Source organism: Homo sapiens, chromosome 14 (genome assembly GCF_000001405.40).
Source record: "Homo sapiens chromosome 14, GRCh38.p14 Primary Assembly".
Taxonomy (NCBI): domain Eukaryota; kingdom Metazoa; phylum Chordata; class Mammalia; order Primates; family Hominidae; genus Homo; species Homo sapiens.
The window spans coordinates 23025114-23046459 of NC_000014.9; the positions used below are offsets into that span (position 1 = coordinate 23025114).

General features: G+C 49.7%; 2 protein-coding genes across 4 annotated transcripts, besides 4 other annotated features; one reads left to right on the plus strand and one right to left on the minus strand.

The window, feature by feature from the left end:
- Positions 4-93: an enhancer, noted in NCBI's record as "active region_8157". NCBI's record gives its function as "activates an Ori minimal core promoter by ATAC-STARR-seq in GM12878 lymphoblastoid cells {active_cell/tissue: GM12878}" and the evidence as "EXISTENCE:reporter gene assay evidence [ECO:0000049][PMID:35858748]".
- On the minus strand, positions 738-10107 carry PSMB5 (proteasome 20S subunit beta 5). Of its 3 annotated transcripts, NM_001144932.3 has the most exons (4): positions 9571-9787; positions 8255-8561; positions 2632-2716; positions 743-1262 (listed from the first exon to the last, which is right to left on the minus strand). In NM_001144932.3, exons 1-4 carry the CDS (start codon positions 9766-9768, stop codon positions 1241-1243), a joined length of 612 nt encoding a protein of 203 aa, NP_001138404.1. In that variant the 5' UTR covers positions 9769-9787; the 3' UTR covers positions 743-1240. The 3 variants fall into 3 exon arrangements, with proteins under 3 accessions (NP_001124197.1, NP_001138404.1, NP_002788.1); NM_001130725.1 differs by lacking the exons at positions 2632-2716; positions 9571-9787 and adding an exon at positions 9999-10107 and having other exon boundaries at positions 738-1262; NM_002797.5 differs by lacking the exon at positions 2632-2716.
- Positions 9513-10182: an enhancer, noted in NCBI's record as "active region_8158". NCBI's record gives its function as "activates an Ori minimal core promoter by ATAC-STARR-seq in GM12878 lymphoblastoid cells {active_cell/tissue: GM12878}" and the evidence as "EXISTENCE:reporter gene assay evidence [ECO:0000049][PMID:35858748]".
- Positions 9513-10712: an enhancer, noted in NCBI's record as "MED14-independent group 3 enhancer chr14:23503835-23505034 (GRCh37/hg19 assembly coordinates)". NCBI's record gives its function as "activates an origin of replication core promoter dependent on BRD2, BRD4, P300/CBP and CDK7 cofactors, and independent of MED14, by STARR-seq in HCT116 cells {active_cell/tissue: HCT116}" and the evidence as "EXISTENCE:reporter gene assay evidence [ECO:0000049][PMID:35650434]".
- Positions 9967-10261: an enhancer, noted in NCBI's record as "tiled region #11879; HepG2 Activating non-DNase unmatched - State 1:Tss, and K562 Activating DNase matched - State 1:Tss". NCBI's record gives its function as "activates a minimal TATA promoter and a strong SV40 promoter by Sharpr-MPRA in HepG2 and K562 cells {active_cell/tissue: HepG2 | K562}" and the evidence as "EXISTENCE:reporter gene assay evidence [ECO:0000049][PMID:27701403]".
- PSMB11 (proteasome subunit beta 11) lies at positions 17099-18947 on the plus strand. Its single transcript, NM_001099780.2, has one exon. The coding sequence runs from the start codon at positions 17113-17115 to the stop codon at positions 18013-18015; it is 903 nt and encodes a 300-aa protein (NP_001093250.1). The 5' UTR covers positions 17099-17112; the 3' UTR covers positions 18016-18947.
- Positions 18948-21346: the final 2399 nt, after the last annotated feature.

Genomic DNA, 21346 nt, shown 5'->3' on the forward strand with positions numbered 1-21346 from the left:
CCTCCGCTCCCATTTTTTAAAGGTTTCTCCCATCAACCTCCTCTATCCCCTGTCTTCTCTTTAACAGAAGGCCTTGCCATCTGCTGCCACCATAGCTTGGGAACTCCCCCCAGCCCCAACAGTGCTGGGTGTGATAAATCAGCCATCTCTCTGCTCTCAGCAGGGCCTCTTCCCCACCCACACATTCCAGTGACAATTTAGTGCTGCTTCCTGACCAGGAGGCTATAAAATCACCATCACTACCCTCTCCCCTCCACACATATGCACTGGAGGACCAAAAGGACAAGGGTCACCAAGCTTGTGGTTACTACTGCTTTCACAGCCACTTCTTTGTCCTCCCCTTCCCAGGGTCCAAGCCTTCCCTTCCCAGTTGGTTTAAGAGTCAAGATTTACCCTCTTCACCCTTCCGCTCTGCATGTAGCCTCAGCCTCCCTTCCCCCACCACAGGGTGACAGCCTTTTCCGCTGGAGCCCTGCCTGGTACAGCCCTGTGCATCTTTCCACCTCATCAACTTTTCATCTCTTTGTAAACCAAATCGAGAAGTGTCTCCCTCCTCCCTGCCTCTCTCTCCTTCTCCGTTATTAGCTTCATGAGTGGGGACATTAATGTATTCACTAGACAATGTCTTCACACCACTGTTTCCTGTAATTACAGTCACTTCCCTTCCACTGTCCTGGCTTATTTGACTGAAAAGTGCTTGGAGGAGGGACAGTGTGGACAAAAGATGCAACACAGGCTGAGATTGAGTAGTGAGTAGTGTAATGTTAACATCCAAGAAAGTAAAACAAATAGTCACCTCTGCAGCAGCTCATTAATGACTGGTAACACATAGAGGTCAATGTGCCAGAGCTTAAAAAAAAGTACTGATACAATTGAAGGCCCTTCCACTATAAATAGGATGGAGGATGGGTCACTGTGTCCGTATTACCAATGACAGTCACCCCAAGAAACACAAGCAGCTGCATCCACCCTCTTTCAGGGGGTAGAGCCACTATACTTCTCATGTAGATCAGCCACATTGTCACTGGAGACTCGGATCCAGCCATCCTCCCGCACGTGGTAGAGGTTGACTGCACCTCCTGAGTAGGCATCTCTGTAGGTGGCTTGGTAGATGGCTCGACGGGCCAGATCATAGGCCTGCTCCACTTCCAGGTCATAGGAATAGCCCCGATCCATGACCCCATATGCATACACAGAGCCAGAACCTACAGAGAAGGTGGCCCCTGAAATCCGGTTCCCTTCACTGTCCACGTAGTAGAGGCCTGGAAAGGGAGATGAGGTTAGCAGGAAAAAAAAAAAGATCACCCCTTTTGATATCTAATTCATATGCCAAGGCAGTAGTTCTTTTTTTTTGAGATGGAGTTTTGCTCTTGTTGCCCAAGCTAGAGTGCAATGGCGCAATCTCGGCTCACCACAACCTCCGCCTCCTGGGTTAAAGTGATTCTCCTGCCTCAGTTTCCCAGGTAGCTAGGATTACAAGCGCTCGTAACCACGCCCAGCTAATTTTTGTATTTTTAGTAGAGACGGGGTTTCACCATGTTGGTCAGGCTGGTCTTGAACTCCTGACCTCTGGGGATCTGCCCTTCTCGGACTCCCAAAGTGCTGGGATTACAGGCGTGAGCCACCTCGCCCGGCCAGCAGTAGTTCTCTTAAAACCTAGAATAAAATTTAAAAAAATAAAAAAATAGGCCGGGCGCGGTGGCTCATGCCTGTAATCCCAGCACTTTGGGAGGCTGAGGTGGGCAGATCACCTGAGGTCAGGCGTTTGAGACCAGCCTGACCAACATGAAGAAACCCCATCTCTACTAAAAATACAAAATTTGCCAGGCGTGGTGGCACATGCCTATAATCCCAGCTACTCAGGAGGCTGATGCAGGAGAATCACTTGAACCTGGGAGGCAAAGGTTGCGGTAAGCCAAGATCGCGCCATTGCACTCCAGCCTGGGCAACAAGAGTGAAACGCTGTCTCAAAATAATATAATAAATAGGCCAGGCGCGGTGGCTAACGCCTGTAATCCCAGCACTTTGGGAGGCCGAGGCGGGTGGATCACGAGGTCAGGAGATCGAGATCATCCTGGCTAACACGGTGAAACCCCGTCTCTACTAAAAAACAAAAAATTAGCCAGGTGTGGTTGCGGTCGCCTGCAGTCCCAGCTACTCAGGAGGCTGAGGCAGGAGAATGGCGTAAACCCGGGAGGCGGAGCTTGCGGTGAGCCGAGATCGCGCCACTGCACTCCAGCCTGGGAGACAGAGCAAGACTTTGTCTCAAAAAAAAAAAAAATAATAATAATAATAATAAATAAATAAAATAATATATATATATATAAAAGAGAAACCCAGGGAAGCCAACATAAATACAAGATAGGACTTCTATAAAATTATTATTATTTTTTTAAAAGCTAGCTGAGTGTGGTGGTGCATGTCTGTGGGAGGTTGAAACAGGAGGATTGTTTGAGCTCAGGACTTGCAGGCTGCAGTAAGCTATAATCACACCACCACACTCCAGCTTGGGCAACAGACTGAGATGCTGTCTTCAGGAAAAAAAAAAAACCTGAAGGAATAAAATTTAATATTAAGACTCCAGGATTCTACAACATACCACCCCATCTCACCTTATATTATAATAACTACCTTGCCATGTTGCCGATCCTCTCAGCACACCCACAAAACAAGTACATTCCAAATGACTTAGGTTTCAAGCACAGAACTTCAGACACTGTGAAAGATAACATTTAAAACATAATCCCCGGCCAGGCGCAGTGGCTCAAACCCGTAATCCCAGCACTTTGGGAGGCCGAGGCAGGTGGGTCACCTGAGGTCAGGAGTTCAAGACAAGCCTGACCAACATGGAGAAACCCTGTCTCTACTAAAAATACAAAATTAGCCAGGCGTGGTGGCGCATGCCTGTAATCCCAGCTACTCAGGAGGCGGAGGCAGGAGAATCACTTGAACCTGGGAGGTGGAGTTTGCAGTGAGCCGAGATCGCACCACTGCACTCCAGCCTGGGCAACAAGAGTGAAACTCTGTCTCAAAAAACAAACAAACAAAACATAATCCCCACTCCCCCATCAAAAGACCCCATAATCCCAGTCACTTGAGCCCAGGAGGTTGAGGCTACAGTGAGCTGTGATTATGCCACTGCACTGCAGCCTGTGTGACAGAAAAACAAACTCCATAATGCCAGAACTCAAAGAGTTTAGACTATCTGGAGAACAAGACATACTTTACACAGGAGGATAATAAAGCCTAGAGTTTGTAATCACATTGTAAAGACCTGCACTGTCCATATGGTAGCCACTAGCCACACAGGACTAGTTGAGCATTTGAAATGAACTAGTACTACCTGCTAACATAATATTTTGGATTTATTAGGTTAAACAAAATATATTGAAATTAATTTTTTTTAATTTTAAAAGCGTAGCTAGTATAAAATGTAAAATTACATATATGGCTCACATTATATTTCTATTGCTGGTATAGACCAGGGTTTGGCCAGGCCAACTGCCTTTATTTTTGTAATTAAAATGTTATTGGAACAGAGCCACTGTTTCCATACTGTCTATGGTTGTTTTGTGCAACACCGGCAGAGTTAAGTATTTGAGACAAAGATTTAGGCCTGCAGACCTAAAATATTTACTATTTGGCCCTTTATGAAAAAACTAGCTGACTTTTGGTACAGATGAAAATTTAGACAAAGTGTTCAATCCCAACTGCCTACTGGATCCCTCCAGCTGGATGTCTTTGTCATCATGTACAGATTCAAACTTCCTAAACTTAGATACCAGTGGTTCTCCATTACCTACCACACTCATCTCTCTTGTGCGCCACAAACCCACGCTTCCTCCTGTCTTCTGAAATTCTGCCAATAGCATCACTACTCTTTTTCCTGTTTCAGTGATTCTCACATCTCACTGTGCACTAGAGTCATCTAACAAAGATTTTTTTCAAAAATGCACAGGACTTACCCTAGGTATTTTTTATAACTGGTGTGGGGTGGGAAACAGGTATGGAACTTGTTTTTTAAGTCCCCCAGGTGATTTTAATGCAAGCCAGCTTGAGCACCTCTGCCCTTATTGGTTTTCAGGTTCAGGTGATTCTGATGTCTACCTTACTCCTTTCTCTGGCCCCTCCTCAGCCCCAGTGCCATGCTCTCTTGCCTAGAGGGGGGTCATCATCTGGTTCCAAAGTACCCTTCTGGCTTTATGGCTCACTATTCCCCTTCACCCACTTAGTTCCAATTAAACTGGACTTTCAGTTACTCCTCAAAAGCTCATGCTTCTTTCCTCCCTTTCTTTGTTATGTTCCCTTTCCCTTTTTTACATCCAGGACAACCACCACCAATCCATGAAGTCTTCCCCAATTCCTCCCATCATAAGTAATCTCTTCCTCCTCAAAACTCCTTCCGCATTTGACTGGTTCTTTTTATTTATTGATTGACTGACTGATTTTTGAGACAAAGTTTCTTTCTTGTTTCCCAAGCTGGAGTGCAATGGCACAATCTCAGCTTACTGCAACCTCTGCCTCCCAGGTTCAAGTGATTGATTCTCCTGCCTCAGCCTCCTGAGTAGCTGGGATTACAGGCATGCACCTCCAGGGTTCAAGAGATTCTCCTGCCTCATCTCCCTGAGTAGCTGGGATTACAGGCATGTGCCACCACAGCCGGCTAATTTTGTATTTTTTTTTTTTGAGATGGAGTCTTGCTCTGTTGCCCAGTCTGGAGTGCAGTGGCACGATCTCAGCTCACTGCAAGCTCCACCTCCTGGGTTCACGCCATTCTCCTGCCTCAGCCTCCCAAGTAGCTGGGACTACAGGCGACCACCACCACGCCCAGCTAATTTTTTGTATTTTTAGTAGAGATGGGGTTTCACCGTGTTAGCCAGGATGGTCTCGATCTCCTGGCCTCGTGATCCGCCCGCCTCGGCCTCCCAATAATTTTGTATTTTTAGTAGAGACAAGGTTCCACCATGTTGGTCAGGCTGGTCTCGAACTCCTGATCTCCGGTGATCCACCCATCTCGGCCTCCCAAAGTGCTGAGATTACAGGCATGAGCCACCATGCCCAGCCAACTGGTTCTTTTAAAAACGGTATTTATCAGGCCAGGAGCTGTGGCTCACGCCTGCAATCCCAGCACTTTGGGAGGCCGAGGCGGGTGGATCATGAGGTCAGGAGATTGAGACCATCCTGGCTAACACAGTGAAACCCCGTCTCTACTAAAAATACAAAAAATTAGCCGGGCGTGGTGGCGGGCACCTGTAGTCCCAGCTACTCGGGAGGCTGAGGCAGGAGAATGGCGTGAATCCGGGAGGCGGAGCTTGCAGTGAGCAGAGATGGCACCACTGCACTCCAGCCTGGGCGACAGAGCGAGACTCCGTCTCAATAAAAAAAAAAAAAGGTTATTTATCTTATTCAGCCTTGGGTTAACTAGTCATCCTTTGGTATATGAAGGGGATTTGTCCCAAGACCCCTGCATATACCAAAATCTATGCACACTCAAGTCCCAAAGTTGGCCCTGCAGAACCTGCATATATGAAAAGTTGGCCAGATATGGTGGCTCACGCCACCCAGCACTTTGGGAGGCTGAGGCAGGTGGATCACCCGAGGTCAGGAGTTTAAGACCAGCCTGGCCAACATGGTGAAACCCTGTCTCTACTAAAAATACAAAAGTTAGCTGGCAGGGTGGCGGGTGTCTGTAATCCCAGCTACTCGGGAGGCTGAGGCAGGAGATCACTTGAACCCAGGAGGTGGAGGTTGCAATGAACTGAGATCGCGCCATTGCACTCCAGCATGGGTGACAAGAGGAAAACTCCATCTCAAAAATAAATAAATAAATAAATAAATAAATTGGTCCTCTGTATATTTGGGTTTCAAATTCTGGGAATGTGTATTTTCAATCAGAATTAGGTTGAAAAATACCTGCGTATAAGTGGACCTGAGTGATTCAAACCCATGTTGCTCAAGGGCCAACTGTAATATGAGGCAAGGGGCTGACTCACAATGAATGGGACAGGGTCATCAGGAAGGCCTCTTGAAGAAGGCACTGTTTAAATGATGCTCAGTCTCCCTGGATTTTCCTTGTTACCCGGTCCCTGTACTCTTTTACACTGTTTCCATCACCTAGAACAAATCCGCCAGCTAAAGGTTCAAAGCAACATTTCCAAAATGCTTCCCTGGATCACGTAAAATGTATGGAACTGTCTTTTCCCACCTTTCAGAGAAAAGCATCTCAATTTCCAAAGTAACAAAGTGAGCTCCTCTCTCACATCCGGTTTTTAATTTCCTTTCATCCTCCATTGGGTAGTAAGTGGATACTCCCTACAGCCCTTTCTATTCTCGTTTGAAAGCAAGTGAAAAAGTGGTAGGTACCCTATAATTGTTCTATAAGATAACTAGGTATTTAGTAAGCAGGTAAATGAATGAAGCAAAATCAAAAGGAGGAAAGAATAATTATTTTTAAGCATATGGAAGGGAAAATTAGAAGGTGACTAGCTATACTCCAACTTTACTAAACGGGCAATTCAAAACTGGCTGATGAGGAAATGACATTAAATACAAAGTTGAACTGTCTGGCAAGTTTCTTAAATGCTGGAAAGGAAAAACAGGCTAAGGAACTTATTTTCAGAGATGATAGAACCGGACCTAGCATGATTGTAAGGGTGATTATAACCAGCAAAGAAATAAAAGAAATGAGCCCAGGACTAGGCGCAATGGCTCACTCCTGTAATCTCAACACTTTGGCAGGCTGAGGTGGGCAGATCACCTGAGGTCAGGAGTTCAAGACCAGCCTGGCCAACATGGTGAAACCCTGTCTCTACTAAAAATACAAAAATTAGACGCGCATGGTGGCATATGCCTGTAGTCTCAGCTACATGGAAGGTTGAGGCAGGAGAATCACTTGAACCTGGGAGGCAGAGATTGCAGTGAGCTGAGATCCCGCCGCTGCACTCCAGTCGGGGCGACAGAGCGAGACTCCATCCCCACCCCCTCAAAAAAGAGAGGAGCCCAAAAGGCCCCTTCTAGGCCAAAGACTCTCTAAAGAAAAAAAGAGAAGAGGCCGGGTGCAGCGGCTCACGCCTTTAATCCTGGCACTTTGGGAGGCTGAGGCGGGTGAATCACCTGAGGTCAGGATTTCGAGACCAGCCTGGCCAACATGGTGAAACCCCATCTCTACTAAAAATATAAAATTAGCTGGGCATGCTGGTGGGCGCTTGTAATCCCAGGTACTTGGGAGACTGCGGCAGGAGAATCACTTGAACCCAGGAGGCAGAGGTTGTAGTGAGCTGAAACAATGCCATTACACGCCAGACTGGACGATCGGAGTGAAACTTTGCATCTCAAAAAAAGAAAAAAAGAAAAAAACAGAAGAGAAATGACTAACTTTTGAGGGACAACCATATATTAGAGTCCAATACAGTAGCCACAAGCCACACATGGTCAATGAACACTTGAAATAGCACTACTGCCACATGTGGGATTCAACGAATTCTTTTTTTTGTTTTTTTTTTTGAGACAGAGTCTCGCTCTGTTGCCCAGGCTGGAGTGCAGTGGCACCATCTCGACTCACTGCAAGCTCCGCCTCCTGGGTTCACACTATTCTCCTGCCTCAGCCTCCTGAGTAGCTGGGACTACAGGCGCCTGCCACCACGCCTGGCTAATTTTTTGTATTTTTGGTAGAGACGGGGTTTCACCTTGTTAGCCAGGATGGTCTCGATCTCCTGACCTCGTGATCCACTGTCTCAGCCTCCCAAAGTGCTGGGATTACAGGAGTGAGCCACCACGCCCGGCCTTCAACGAATTCTTAAATTCTTTTTTTTGAGACAGAGTCTCACTCTGTCGCCCAGGCTGGAGTGCAGTGGCGCGATCTCTGCTCACTGCAACATCCACCTCCTGGGTTCAAGCAATTCTCATGCCTCAGCCTCCTGAGCAGCTGGTATTACAGGCGCCCGCCACCACGCCGGGCTAATTTTTGTATTTTTAGTAGAGATGGGGTTTCGCCATGTTGGCCAGGCTGGTCTTGAATTCCTGAACCTGGGGGCGGAGGCTGCAGTGAGCTGAGATCATGCCACTGCACTCCAGCCTGAGCGACAGAATGAGACACAGTCTAAAAAAACAGGAAAAAAAAAAAGAGAGAAGGAAGGGCTAAGGACCTAATTACACTTCTTCAGCATTGACACCAAGCCCTTTAATTCATCTGTCCATCCAACCCCTCCTCACTGTAGTGTCAGCCCAAGGATCATGTGGTTGCAGCTTAACTCACCAGGGCCTCTCTTATCCCAGCCACAGATCATGGTGCCCATGGACAGCCCCATGCCTTTGTACTGATACACCATGTTGGCAAGCAGTTTGGAGGCAGCTGCTACAGAGATGCGTTCCTTATTTCGAAGCTCATAGATTCGACATTGCCGAGCCAACAGCCGTTCCCAGAAGCTGCAATCCGCTGCGCCCCCAGCCATGGTGCCTAGCAGGTATGGGTTGATCTCTATCACCTTCTTCACCGTCTGGGAGGCAATGTAAGCACCCGCTGTAGCCCTGGAGTCAGCTGCAACTATGACTCCATGGCGGAACTGTTAAGATCAGAGGAAAACACAAAACAGGCCACATAAGACCACAAAAACACTCCTACATACTTCTTTTTGCATCAATCCAAACCCAGCACATCTCTTTCTCCGTCCTTTTATACTTCACAGTATACTTCTATACTTCACCATATATTAATGTCACCCGAGCTTCACATCAATCCCTTGACATGGATATAACCCATATTAAATTCATTTTATAGGATGGGCGTGGTGGCTCACTCCTGTAACCCAGGCATTTTGGGAGACCAAGGCGGGAGGACCGCTTGAGGCCAGGTGCTGGAGACCAGCCTGGGCAACACAGGGAGATCCATCTCTACAAAAAGTAAAAAAACTTAGCCTGTCGTGGTGGTGTGTGCCTATAGTGTCAGCTACTCTGGAGGCTGAGGCGCTGGAGCCACTGCACTCCAGCCTGAGCGACAGCGAAAAGCCCTGTTTCAAAAAAAAAAAAAAAACAAATCATTTTATAGATGAGGAAACAGGTTCAATGAAATCAAATGATTTCTCAATCTAGAGCTAGTTATTGCAGAGCTGGGCAAGGAACCCCAAATGTCTGATTCTTAGTACAATGCTTACCCTCACCACGCTTCCCCTTCATGCCAGTTTCAGTTACCCCTGCCTTGAGGGGCCGCCCAGTTTCCAAAACTTTGGTAAACGTTTACAATAGCCTTCCCTCGGCCAAGATTCATTGTTGTTGCGGCCTTTCCCAGCTAGAAGATCCTGAACAGCAGCAACCTGGGGTCGCCTAGGAATCAACCCAAGAGGCCTCACCTTCCTCCCCCGACTTACCCCCGGCCCCACCGCCACCCTTTCCAACCAGAGCAAAGACAGGGGCCTCCTGGGCCAATGAGACAGCAAAACTGCTGCGGTCCGAACGAGAGGACCCAGCCTCCGCCTGGGTTGGTGGCCAAGGCCACCGCAAACTCCGGTCAGGCTGGGAGGCCAGGCAAGTCGCGGGCGTTCAGTACTCAGCCTGGCAAGGGGGCTGGCTCCACACCTTGAAGGCCAGGGTGGTTGTTCCATGAAGCATTTCGATTCCTGGCTCTTCTGGGACACCCCAGCCTGGCGCGGCCAGGCTCAGACCATCACTGAGACTCCCTGGACCTAGATCCAGCAGATCTGCACGACCCCCAAGTCCGAAAAACCCGCGCTGGTTCACCGGTAGCGGTCTCTCCAACACGCTGGCAAGCGCCATGTCTAGTGTGGGCAGAAAGAACTAATTCTGAGAACGCCTAGCAAAGATAGGCCGGGCAACGCCTCGCCGTCACAGCTTCACTTCCTATTAAATCTATTCCGGAATGGAGCCATTTTGACTGCTGGCAAGCACGCCTCCAAAAAGAAGAGCCAGATGCGAAAGACCATTTTCACTGAAGGGGGTCGGGGAAATAGATGGCTTCACTAACCTTAAATTCTAAAAGGACGTACCTGCCATCTTGGCTTTGGTCATGCAAGTAGTCCTGGATCAGAATAACCTCAAAATCACAGGAAGTGACTGAAAACGTCCATGTTGCGTAAGGGAAGTGAGGTCGGCCATCTTTGAGAAGGGCGTGACTGGTTGAAAATCGGTTCTGAACCCTTAGCGGTGAGTCCTCCCACTCCAGCCTGGTGTCCAAGCAACAGGTTACATCGCTGCTGCTTCAGCACCTTGTTAACGCGCCTGAGGTTGCCATCTTGTTTAAGGGCACCTTCTAAAATTGGGTAAAATAATGATCCATTCTGAGGCCATTTCCCTATATTAGTTAAACCACAGCAATTAGTGGTAAAACAACGCAACAAAATAAAAGTGCTATACCTCTTGTTGTCAGTCGCCATACAGCAACCCTTCTTTAACAGTAACCGGTTATTAATATCCAATATTCGTTCTCTTGACTCCTACCTTCTGGTGGAAATTCGAATAAGTAATGAATTGCCTAAAAGGCAGATGGAAGAAGAAAAAGCAAAGGGTCCAGTTAATCCACAAACTAGATTCTCAGTTCAGACCTGAATAAGTGTCAGTAGTAATTTACCATCTCAGAGACGGGAGGACGGTTGAGACTGCATAAATATGTACCAAGAGATTCTCTAACTTCAACTTGCTAAGATGATGCCTTTTATTCAGGAACATACTATATTTCATTGCCTCTTCCTCCCTCCACCCACCTTCATTTTTCAAATCTTTTGGGAACTATAACAAACCGGGAAGTGTGCATATGTATGAAATGTTGCCTCCTGCTTTATGGTTCTATGAAGTCAGTCTCTGGCCTTCCTTGTTGGATTCTAGCAGCAACATCTATCAACACCGAAATTCCACTTTCCTCTGATGCCCAGTTCGGCCCCATCTTTCCCCCAGCAGACTCTGCATATGCTGTATTGTTTTTGTTTGTTTGTTTGTTTGTTTTTTGAGACCAAGTCTTGCTGTGTCCCCCAGGCTGGAACACAGTGGCACGATCTCTGCTCACTGCAACCTCTGCTTCCCAGGTTCAAGCGATTCTCCTGCCTCAGCCTCCCGAGTAGCTGGGATTACAGGCGCCTGCCTCCACAACAGGCTAATTTGTGTGTGTGTGTGTGTGTGTGTGTGTGTGTGTGTGTGTGTGTGTGTTTAGTAGAGACGGGGTTTCACCGTGTTAGCCAGGATGGTCTTGATCTCCTGACCTCGTGATCCACCCACCTCGGCCTCCCAAAGTGCTGGGATTACAGGCATGAGCCACCGTGCCCGGCCTCACGCCTGGCTAATTTTTGTATTTTTAGTAGAGATGGGGTTTCACCATATTGGCCACGCTGGTCTCAAACTCTTGACCTCAGGTGATCCGCTTGTTAGCCAGGATGGTCTTGATCTCCTGACCTCGTGATCCACCCACCTCGGCCTCCCAAAGTGCTGGGATTACAGGCATGAGCCACCGTGCCCGGCCTCACGCCTGGCTAATTTTTGTATTTTTAGTAGAGATGGGGTTTCACCATATTGGCCACGCTGGTCTCAAACTCTTGACCTCAGGTGATCCGCTTGCCCCGGCCTCCCAAAGTGCTGGGATTACAGGTGTGAACCACTGCGCCTGGCCTATGCTGTATTTTTAATGCTGAAATTGGCAACCCTTTCCAAGCCCAATCATCAGAATAGAATTAAACAGGAGATCTTTGTGTTTCACACTTGGATGATGTGGAAAATGCGGAGTGCGTCTGTTTACTGAGCATATATTATTTTGCAGTCACCCCTGCAGTGCAACTAGTCTTTCTGCCTCCTTCCAGTGGTTTTTCACTCTGCCACTGATAGCATGTGTACCTCTCTTAAGGCCCTTTTACATTTTACCTGGTTAGAAATTACATTTATCTCCTACCGGATTGTGAGCTTTTAAATACAAGTACTTACTATTCATTTCTGTACCCACTGTATGCTTAATACATATTTGCCAAATGAACACCTGAAAGAATGACAGCAGTGGTCTTCTAGTCAAAAAGGCTTGAAGTCCTTGCTTATCTTTTACAGCTTTTTTCTTTCCTTCATATCCAGTTAGTTGCATGGTCCTGTTGATTATTTCCACTTCAGTGTTTCTCACATTCTTTTTCATTACAACTGATACCACCTTTGGCTTCTTATGTCCTCATTCTGGAATTGCTGAAATATTCTCCTTATTTTATTTTATTTTTTTGAGATGGAGTCTCGCTCTGTCGCCCAGGCTGGAGTGCAGTGGCGCAATATTGGCTCACTGCAACCTCTACCTCCTGGATTCAAGTGATTCTCCTGCCGTAGCCTCCCAAGTAGCTGGAACTACAGGTGTGTGCCACCATACCTGGATAATTTTTTTTTTTTTTGAGACGGAGTCTCGCTCTGTCACCCAGGCTGGAGTGCAGTGGCACAATCTTGGCTCACTGCAAGCTCCGCCTCCCGGGTTCACGCCATTCTCCTGCCTCAGCCTCCCGAGTAACTAGGACTACAGGCGCCCGCCACCATGCCCGCTAATTTTTGTTTTTTTTTGTATTTTTTAGTAGAGATGGGGTTTCACCATGTTAGCCAGGATGAATTGCCTGGATAATTTTTTTTTTTTTTGTATTTTAAGTAGAGATGGGATTTTGCCATATTGGCCAGGCTGGTCTTGAACTCCCAACCTCAGACGATCTGTCTGCCTCAGTCTTCCAAAGTGCTGGGATTACAGGTGTGAACCACCATGCCTGGCCTTCTCCTAACTGATTTATGGGTCTAAATTGTCACTCTCTAATTCATTCTGCACAGCATCAGATTCGTTTTCCTAAAACACCATTTTTTTTTTTAATTGAGTTTTGCTATTGTCGCCCAGGCTGGAGTGCAGTGGCACGATCTCTGCTCACTGCAACCTCTGCCTCCCAGGTTCAAGCAATTCTCCTGCGTCAGCCTCCCGAGTAGCTGGGATTACAGGCGTGCGCCACCAGGCCCAGTTAATTTTTTTTCTTCTATTTTTAGTAGAGACAAGATTTTGCCATGTTGGGCGGGCTGGTCTTGAACTCCTGACCTCAGGTGATCTGCCCGCCACAGCCTCCCAAAGTGCTGGGATTACAGGCGTGAGCCGCTGCGCCCAGCCTAAAACATCATCTCGATCTTAACACTCACCTGCTTAAAAATGTTCTGTGGGCCAGGCGCGGTGGCTCACGCCTGTAATCCCAGCACTTTGGGAGGCCGAGGTGGGCGGATCACGAGGTCAGGAAATCAAGATCATCCTGACTAACACGGTGAAACCCTGTCACTACTAAAAATACAGAAAATTAGCCAGGCGTAGTGGCACCGCCTGTAGTCCTAGCTACTCTAGAGGCTGAGGCAGGAGAATTGCTTGAACCCGGGAGGCAGAGGTTACAGTGAGCAGAGATTGTGCCACTGCACTCCAGTCTGGGCGACAGAGTGAGACTCCGTCTCAAAAAAAAAAAAAAAAAAAAAAAAGTTTTGTGAATTCAAGCTCCTCAGCATAGCATTCAAGGCCTTCCATAATCCATTCCCAACTTACCTCACATGCGTTCTCTGCTCCAGGGTCCCTATTCCTGGGGACCTCATTAAGGAGAAGTACAAATGATAAATGCTGTGGTTCAGAGGTGGGCGAGGGAGTCAATATAGATTGGAAAGAGGCTGTAGGTCCAGGATGGCTTTGTCAAGGTCTGGATTCATTTTTCTAAATCTGACTTGGTGCACTCACAGCCTCTCCTTTCTCAGCCCATACCTGGGAAGGAATTTCACAATAGGTGGTACTTAAGCCAGACTGTGGAATAGGATTCAAACAGGTGAAAGGGAGGTGGGAGGTGTGTTAGGAATAGAGAGAAAAGAGCCTGTGATAGATAGATTTAGGTTGGACCATAGTGGGTCTTACGTGCCAGCTTGGGATAGAAGAGGTAGTTTTGATTTTATCTTATAACCCTCCAAGTTTTTCTAGCAGAGAAAACACAGGATTTGAGTGATACTTTAGGAAAACATGTCCATGTAGAGGGTAAGATTACAATGGGAGACTGGTGAGTGCTTAATTAGGAGGTCATTCAACTGTCCAGACCTGACTTGATAATGGCTTGATCTAGGGAGGTGGCAATCCATCTATAAAGAGTCTGAGACTTAGCCTTTAGAAAGAAGATATACTCTAGGCTAGGCGCAGTGGCTCACGCCTGTAATCCTAATACTTTGGGAGGCCCAGGTGGGCGGATCACCTCAGGTCAGGAGTTCGAGACCAGCCTGGCCAGCATGGCAAAACCCTGTCTCTACTAAAAGTACAAAAATTACCTGGGTGTGTTGGGGGTGCCTGTAATCCCAGCTACTTGGGAGGCTGGGCAGGAGGATCGCTTGAGCCTGGGAGGCAGAGGTTACAGTGAGCCAAGATCACGCCATTGCACTCCAGTTTGGATGACAAGAGCGAAACTCCGTCTCAAAAAGAAAGAAAGAAAGAAGATATATCCTTACCTTTCAGCAAGATTTCCTGGTGGTCCTACACCAAGGAGAAGAGAAGGACTGGTTGGACCTTAGCATGCTCTTTGAGTTTCTCCAACTTTCCCATGACCAGGTTTACACTTTTCCTTAGTAGTGAGACCCCAGAAAGCTATGATGCCACAGCCCCACCATCATGATGTCTGGAGGGTCCAGACTCTTTCCTTTGTGTGTGGGTCTGTTTCTTCAAATAAATCCATTTCCACAGCACCACCTTGAGCTGCAATGTTTAGTATAATATATGTACGGCATATGTTGCTGGAGTAGTTGCAGCTTGTCACTCTGCCCCAATTAACTGGCTATTTTTTTTTTTTTTTCTGAGACAGGGTCTTACTTTGTTGCCCAGGCTAGAGTGCATGGAGTGCAGTGGCACAATCTTACTCACTGCAGCCTCATTCAGTGAGTGCTCAAGTGATCCTCCCACCTCAGCCTTCCAAGTAGCTGGGACTACAGGTCCACACCACCACACCCGGCTAATTTTTTGTATTTTTTGTAGAGGTGAGGTTTCGCCATGTTGCCCAGGCTGATCTCGAATTCCTGGGCTCAAGTGATTCACCTGCCTTGGCCTCCCAACGTGCTGAGATTACAGGCGTGAGCCAACACACTTGGCCTTGACTTCGACTTTCTGAAGGGTCAGCTATCAGGGTCCACCAACCCCACCACTCTAACACCCCTGGTTGGTCTAAGACTTATAGACTCAACATTATGGAGTTAAGATCAGTTGTTTCTCCTGCCCTGGAATTACAAGCCACTCTGTTGCCATTGTGAACTATTAGGCAGAAGGGGGAGCAGGAGCTAGAAGGCCACTAGATCCTTTGGACTTCAACACAAGTCAAAGGCATACTGCCAGAGAACTGTCAGGAATGCCTTCTCTGTATACAGATAGAAGGACATATTTATCTCTAAAGCAAGGGAGAAAGAGACCTTCAGGTTCTAGTTTCCTTCATTCCTCAGCAATCTGCCTTTGTGGAAGATATTTCAGCCTCTTTCTCCTCTCCGCTGTTACAAAGTTCTCTTGCTCTTTTTTCTCGTCTTTGCTTTAGTCCACTTTTAATTAATTAATTAATTAATTAATTTTTGAGATGGAGTTTCGCTCTTGTTGCCCAGGCTGGAGTGCAATGGCAGCTCACTGCGACCTCCACCTCCCGGGTTCAAGCGATTCTCGTGCCTCAGCCTCCCAAGCAGCTAGGATTGCAGACATCCACCACCACACCCGGCTGATTTTTTTTGTATTTTCAGTAGAGACGGGGGTTTCACCATGGTGGCCAGGCTGGTCTCAAACTCCTGACCTCAGGTGATCCGCCCGCCTCTGTCTCCCAAAGTGCTGGGATTACAGGCATGAGCCACCATGTGCGGCCTTTTTTATTTTTATTTTTTTAAATTTTCCTTTATTTTTTATTGAGACAGGGTGTCACTGTGTCGCCCAGGCAGGAGTGCAGTGGCACAATCACGGCTCACTGAAGCCTTGACCTCTTGGACTCAGGTGATCCTTTCACCTCAGTTTCCTGAGTAGCTGGGACTACAGGCATGTGCCACCATGCTTGGCTAATTTTTTTTTTTTTTGAGATGGAGTCTCGCTCTGTCACCCAGGCTGGAGTGCAGTGGCACGATCTCAGCTCACTGCAACCTCCGCCTTCTGGTTCAAGCAATTCTCCTGCCTCAGCCTCCTGAGCAGCTGGGACTACAAGTGTGCGTCACCACACCCAGCTAATTTTTTAGTAGAGATGGGGATTCACCATATTGGCCAGGCTGGTCTCGAACTCCTGACCTCGTGATTCACCTGCCTCGGCCTCCCAAAGTGCTGGGAGGCATGAGCCTCCGAGCCTGTCCCAGGCTAATTGTTACATATTTTGTAGAGATGGGGGTCTTGATATGTAGCCCAGGGTGGTCTCGAACTCTTGGGCTCAAGCCATCCCCCTGCCTTGGTCTCTCAAAGTGCTAAGATTACTGGTGTGATCCACTGTGCCCAGCCTCAGTCCATTTTTCTTTCCCCATCTTTCCCTTGAGTTTGAAGTATGAGCTGAGTTCCTTGCTCCCATATCTCTGAAGGGAGTCCCCAGCACCAAGGTCTCCTGCCTCAGTGGGGTTACAGCGCTGTATTCTGACCACATCAGTCCACTGAATTGTCTACCTCGTCCTAGGCTGGGAGCCCTCTCAGGCCAGGGACAGGGCCTTATTTGTCTCTACGTGCCCAGTGCCCCGCATGGGAGAAACAAGGAGCCCAGCCCTGCTCCATCCATTTGTGCTCATGTTTCTTTGCATTACCCCAGCCCCCCCCGCCCAACTCCAGATAGTTGGAGGATGACAGACAGGAGACTCTTTGGGTGACTCTCAGATGCGTCATGGGCAGCAGAAGGTGAAGGTCTGACCGTGAAGGCAGCGTCTTCCTAGTGCTGGAGACTCTACAGCCCTCATCCTGTCTCCTTTCAGCTGTCCTCTGAGATGAAGGGGGCTGCTCCATCAGCCAATCCCAAAGCCTGAATTGGGGGTTGAGGAGAAATGAAGCGTCAGCTCACACACCTTCCTGGCCGGTTCTGGCTGTGGCCCAGCTTCTCTGTAGCGTCCCTCCTATCCCACCAGACCCCAGCCACAAATTCCTGGCTTGCTTCTTCCAAACTTCATTCAGCCCCAGGGATGGCTCTGCAGGATGTGTGCAAGTGGCAGTCCCCTGACACCCAGGGACCATCACCTCACCTGCCTCGGGCTGGCGGCTGGGCTGTGCCCCGGGGTTGTGACCCTCAAACCTTCCTGCAGATCCATGGCCCCAGACTGGCCCACGGCACCACCACTCTGGCCTTCCGCTTCCGTCATGGAGTCATTGCTGCAGCTGACACGCGTTCCTCCTGTGGCAGCTATGTGGCGTGTCCAGCCTCATGCAAGGTCATCCCTGTGCACCAGCACCTCCTGGGTACCACCTCTGGCACCTCTGCCGACTGTGCTACCTGGTATCGGGTATTACAGCGGGAGCTGCGGCTTCGGGAACTGAGGGAGGGTCAGCTGCCCAGTGTGGCCAGTGCTGCCAAGCTCTTGTCAGCCATGATGTCTCAATACCGGGGACTGGATCTCTGTGTGGCCACTGCCCTCTGCGGCTGGGACCGCTCTGGCCCTGAGCTCTTCTACGTCTATAGCGACGGCACCCGCCTGCAGGGGGACATCTTCTCTGTGGGCTCTGGATCTCCCTATGCCTACGGCGTGCTAGACCGTGGCTATCGCTACGACATGAGCACCCAGGAAGCCTACGCCCTGGCTCGCTGCGCCGTGGCCCACGCCACCCACCGTGATGCCTATTCAGGGGGCTCTGTAGACCTTTTCCACGTGCGGGAGAGTGGATGGGAGCATGTGTCACGCAGTGATGCCTGTGTGCTGTACGTGGAGTTACAGAAGCTCCTGGAGCCGGAGCCAGAGGAGGATGCCAGCCATGCCCATCCTGAGCCTGCCACTGCCCACAGAGCTGCAGAAGATAGAGAGCTCTCTGTGGGGCCAGGGGAGGTGACACCAGGAGACTCCAGGATGCCAGCAGGGACTGAGACGGTGTGAGAAGCAGGACTTGGTTGGGGATGGTGTAGGCCTGGGGAGTGGGTGGGAGGATGGGCAGCAGGGGGAGGGTCCCGCTGGCAGCAGCCTCACAGCGTCTGGCTCTAGCCTGTATGGGTTGCTGGCTTCATTTATTGCAAGTCTCCATCCTTTCATGACTCCCAGAGCTATTATGGCTCTGCCCAACAAGTTCCTATTGACTCCCAGTGGATTGGTCCAGCCTCCTTCTTGGCACCAAGTCCGTCTTTCATTCAACACTTGCAGTGTGCCTACTGCATGCCAGACGCATGCTAGGTGCTAGACCCTCTTTTCTTGCCATCTTCTCTGCTTTTTTCCATCATCTCATCCCCAGTTTCTCTTAGTTTCGGTCCTTTATGTGTCTCAGCTTCAGCGTCTTTGTCTTTTTCTCCTGATCACTTTGTCAGCATGGTAAGATGGGGCACCCGGGAAGGGAGCAGCCCCTCTCAGAACGAGGCGTAGTGATAGACACCCTTTGGATGGTGATGGGCTTGTCTTATCTGCTCTCCTTCTCTGACTTGACCATCATGACTAGAATGATTATCCCTTTACTGAATGCAGTTCTCATCGCAACCCTTTGAGGTAAAAATGAGTCTCTCTTTACAGAAGAGGAATCAGGTTCAAAGGGTTATGTGGCTTGCCAGGGTCACACAGTAAGTGGCAGGGATGACACTTAGATCCAGGCCTTCTCCTCCAGGGTCCATGCTCTTTCAGCACAGCTCCCCCTCCCAGGCCCTCTGCCCTGCCTTTCCTCTCTTCCCTGCAGGCTTCCGGAGAGGGATGTGGAGGGAGAAAGTAGCTAGGCCAGTCCCCTGCCTGGTGGCTCATGTGGCTTTATCTTCCAGGCCTGGAGCCATCCCCCACAGCCCACCCTTGCTCTCCAGCTTTCTGGGCCTGGCGGTGCCGCTGCCAGACTTCCCCTCCTCCTTTCTTCCCTTTGCCTTCTTTCCAGCCCCTCCTTCCTGATGCTCCCTCTGGAGAATGAAGACAAGAGAGAGGTGGCTGTGCCAGTGGGAACTGTCTGGCTAGCACATCCTCTCCTGCCCCTCCTGTCCCTGCTCCCACTCCCCTAGAAGCCCAGACTTGAAGATCCAGACTAACACCTCCAGGAGGGCCACTGCCCTGCTGTCCCCTGGCCAAATGAGAGAGAAAGCACTGTTAACCTACGAGATAGGGCCTGAAGGAAGGGTGCTGAAGTTGCTTTCCTCACATCCAATCCTAAAGCTTCCAGTCCCAAGAATAACAGCCGCCTGCCTTCCCTCTTGGACACCCCTCATCCCTGGCTCCAGCCTAGGCCCGAGCCTTAATCTTGCACCCCAGATTAAGCATTCCTCCAGGCAGGAGCTGGGCAGACAGACCTCCAGACTCTGGTGCAGAGCGGGTGACTGGGGTGGGGGAGGAAAGGTCAGGGGGCTCCAGAAGGGAAAACCCCAGAAAGGACACAGTGGGGAGGAATTGTGGTGGACACCACAGAAAGGTGTCCAGTTTGGGGGGACTGGCCTTCAAGCCAGGCTCAAGGAATCTGGCCAGTGGCCTCTGCGGCCACCCTTCTTTACCCCTTGCTCACTCCCCAGCCTCAGGGGAGGAGATGTGGGACTCTGGGACTGCTAACTGGGAGGCAGGGCTCCCAGTGGCCTAGTCCTGGAGGAAGCATGTGAGGAGGGGCAGCTTTTGCATGGCGTTCAGGTGTTTGACTCGGCATAAGAGGGTGCATATTCATGTCCACAGGTGTATGTAGTTCTGTGCCCAGGTGTAGGTGAGTGATACAGGATGGGATTCACACGAGTGTGGCAGGCGATGCGTGTGCAGTTCCTGTGTGCAGAGACAAGAAACAGACTGAAAGAGAAAGAGCGACACCTGAATAAGGAGATCAGCCTCTCAGCGGGAAGACTGCCAGGCCTTATCACTTCTTTTGGGGAGTGCTCCAGAGTAAAGAGGAGGTGGGGGACAGGCTCATGCCAGCAGTTCTCTACTTCCTCATCCTCCCAGCCCTATCCTGAGCCTCTCAGGAAGTGAGAAAAGACAGGCAGGGAGGGGTGGCCTGGGACCTGGGATTGCCACCTGAGCGCAGTCAAAGGTGGGCTGTGAACTGCGTGCAGCTGTCTCCCCCTGAGATGCTTGGCGCCTCACCCCCATTCCCAGACTCAAGCAGGAGAATTGAACTCAGACCAAGAGGGCAGAACCAGACCAGGAGGGCAGAACTCAGGGTGGGGGGACCCTCCTCTCTTTTCCTTCCATAGTCCCACCCATCTTCACTCCCTTTGACAGGTCCTGTCCTTCCAGAGGTTGAGGTAGTTGAGGCCAGAGATGAGCCCATGGGTCTGGCTGACAAGCCTGGTTCCCTCTGCCCTATTATTTTCCGCTATGTTTTTAATGAGTTTGGGGGAGGACCTTAGGAGAGTCTTAGGGAGGGCTGGGTAGACAAAGGCCAACATCCCATTCCAATGCACCCCTCACTGTCTAAGAGTAGCCCATGAGTCATTTCCCCCATTTCTCTACTAATTCCTGAAGGCTTGATACAGATATCACGGTGAGACCAAAGGGGCGGAGATCTTCCCCTTCCTGCCCCGAACCAGAAGACCTTGTCCTTCTGATGCCCTGCTTGGGGTGGTGCCTACCTCCTCACAGTCTCTGGAGAGTTCGGGGGGATAGCCCGCTCTTGCACAAGCCCTTGGACTGTCAGAGGTCCAGGCTTCCAGCCTTCAGCAGAGTAAATGACCTGAATTCCAGCACTAGAGGGAGGGGCCTTGTTCTCCTACCTCCTGCTTGTCCTTATCAAGCAGGTGGGGAAGGTATGAGGGAAGGTATGTTCACATTGAAGCAGCTTTCCCCAGCTGCCAGTACCCCATACGAAGGGGGAGTCACAAGGACCTATCCTACCTCGCCTACCTGTGTGTGCCTCTGGAGCCCTGGAGTTGAGAGGCCTGAGCTCTCATGCTGGTTCCTGGGTGGACCCCTTCTCTGGACTTTGGGAGATAATTGCAGTTCTGGCTCAGCTCCCACCTAGTTGACTGCTTCTGTCCGTCAACAGCCTGCCTCCCTGGTCCTCTCCCTCCTCCTTTGTGTTCTGCAAAGACTAAGACCATGGCCTAGGGGAGAGTTAAAGGTGGGAGCAGCGGGCCCAGATTCAATGTGACTGTCTCACTCTGGTCCGCCCTTTCCCCACTTGGCACTACGAGCCCCAGGAAAGGCTGGTTTGTCCCCGCTGCTGCCTGCCACCCCCATTATTTTCCTAGTCCAGAATCCCCCTTCCTCTCTTAGTCTTTTATCCCTCCGGCCCTCTTCTCAGCAGCTCTCACACTTCACCCTCTACTTC

Bases quoted from the DNA above. Each gene is read 5' to 3' on its own strand.
- PSMB5 (NM_002797.5), bottom strand. From the start codon at position 9,768: ATGGCGCTTGCCAGCGTGTTGGAGAGACCGCTACCGGTGAACCAGCGC. The intron at 8,562-9,570 runs GTGTGGAGCCAG...TGATCTTAACAG, and splicing joins CAACCACCCTGGCCTTCAAG to TTCCGCCATGGAGTCATAGT. The intron at 1,263-8,254 runs GTGAGTTAAGCT...CTCCCTTTCCAG, and splicing joins CTGGGATAAGAGAGGCCCTG to GCCTCTACTACGTGGACAGT.
- PSMB11 (NM_001099780.2), top strand. From the start codon at position 17,113: ATGGCTCTGCAGGATGTGTGCAAGTGGCAGTCCCCTGACACCCAGGGA.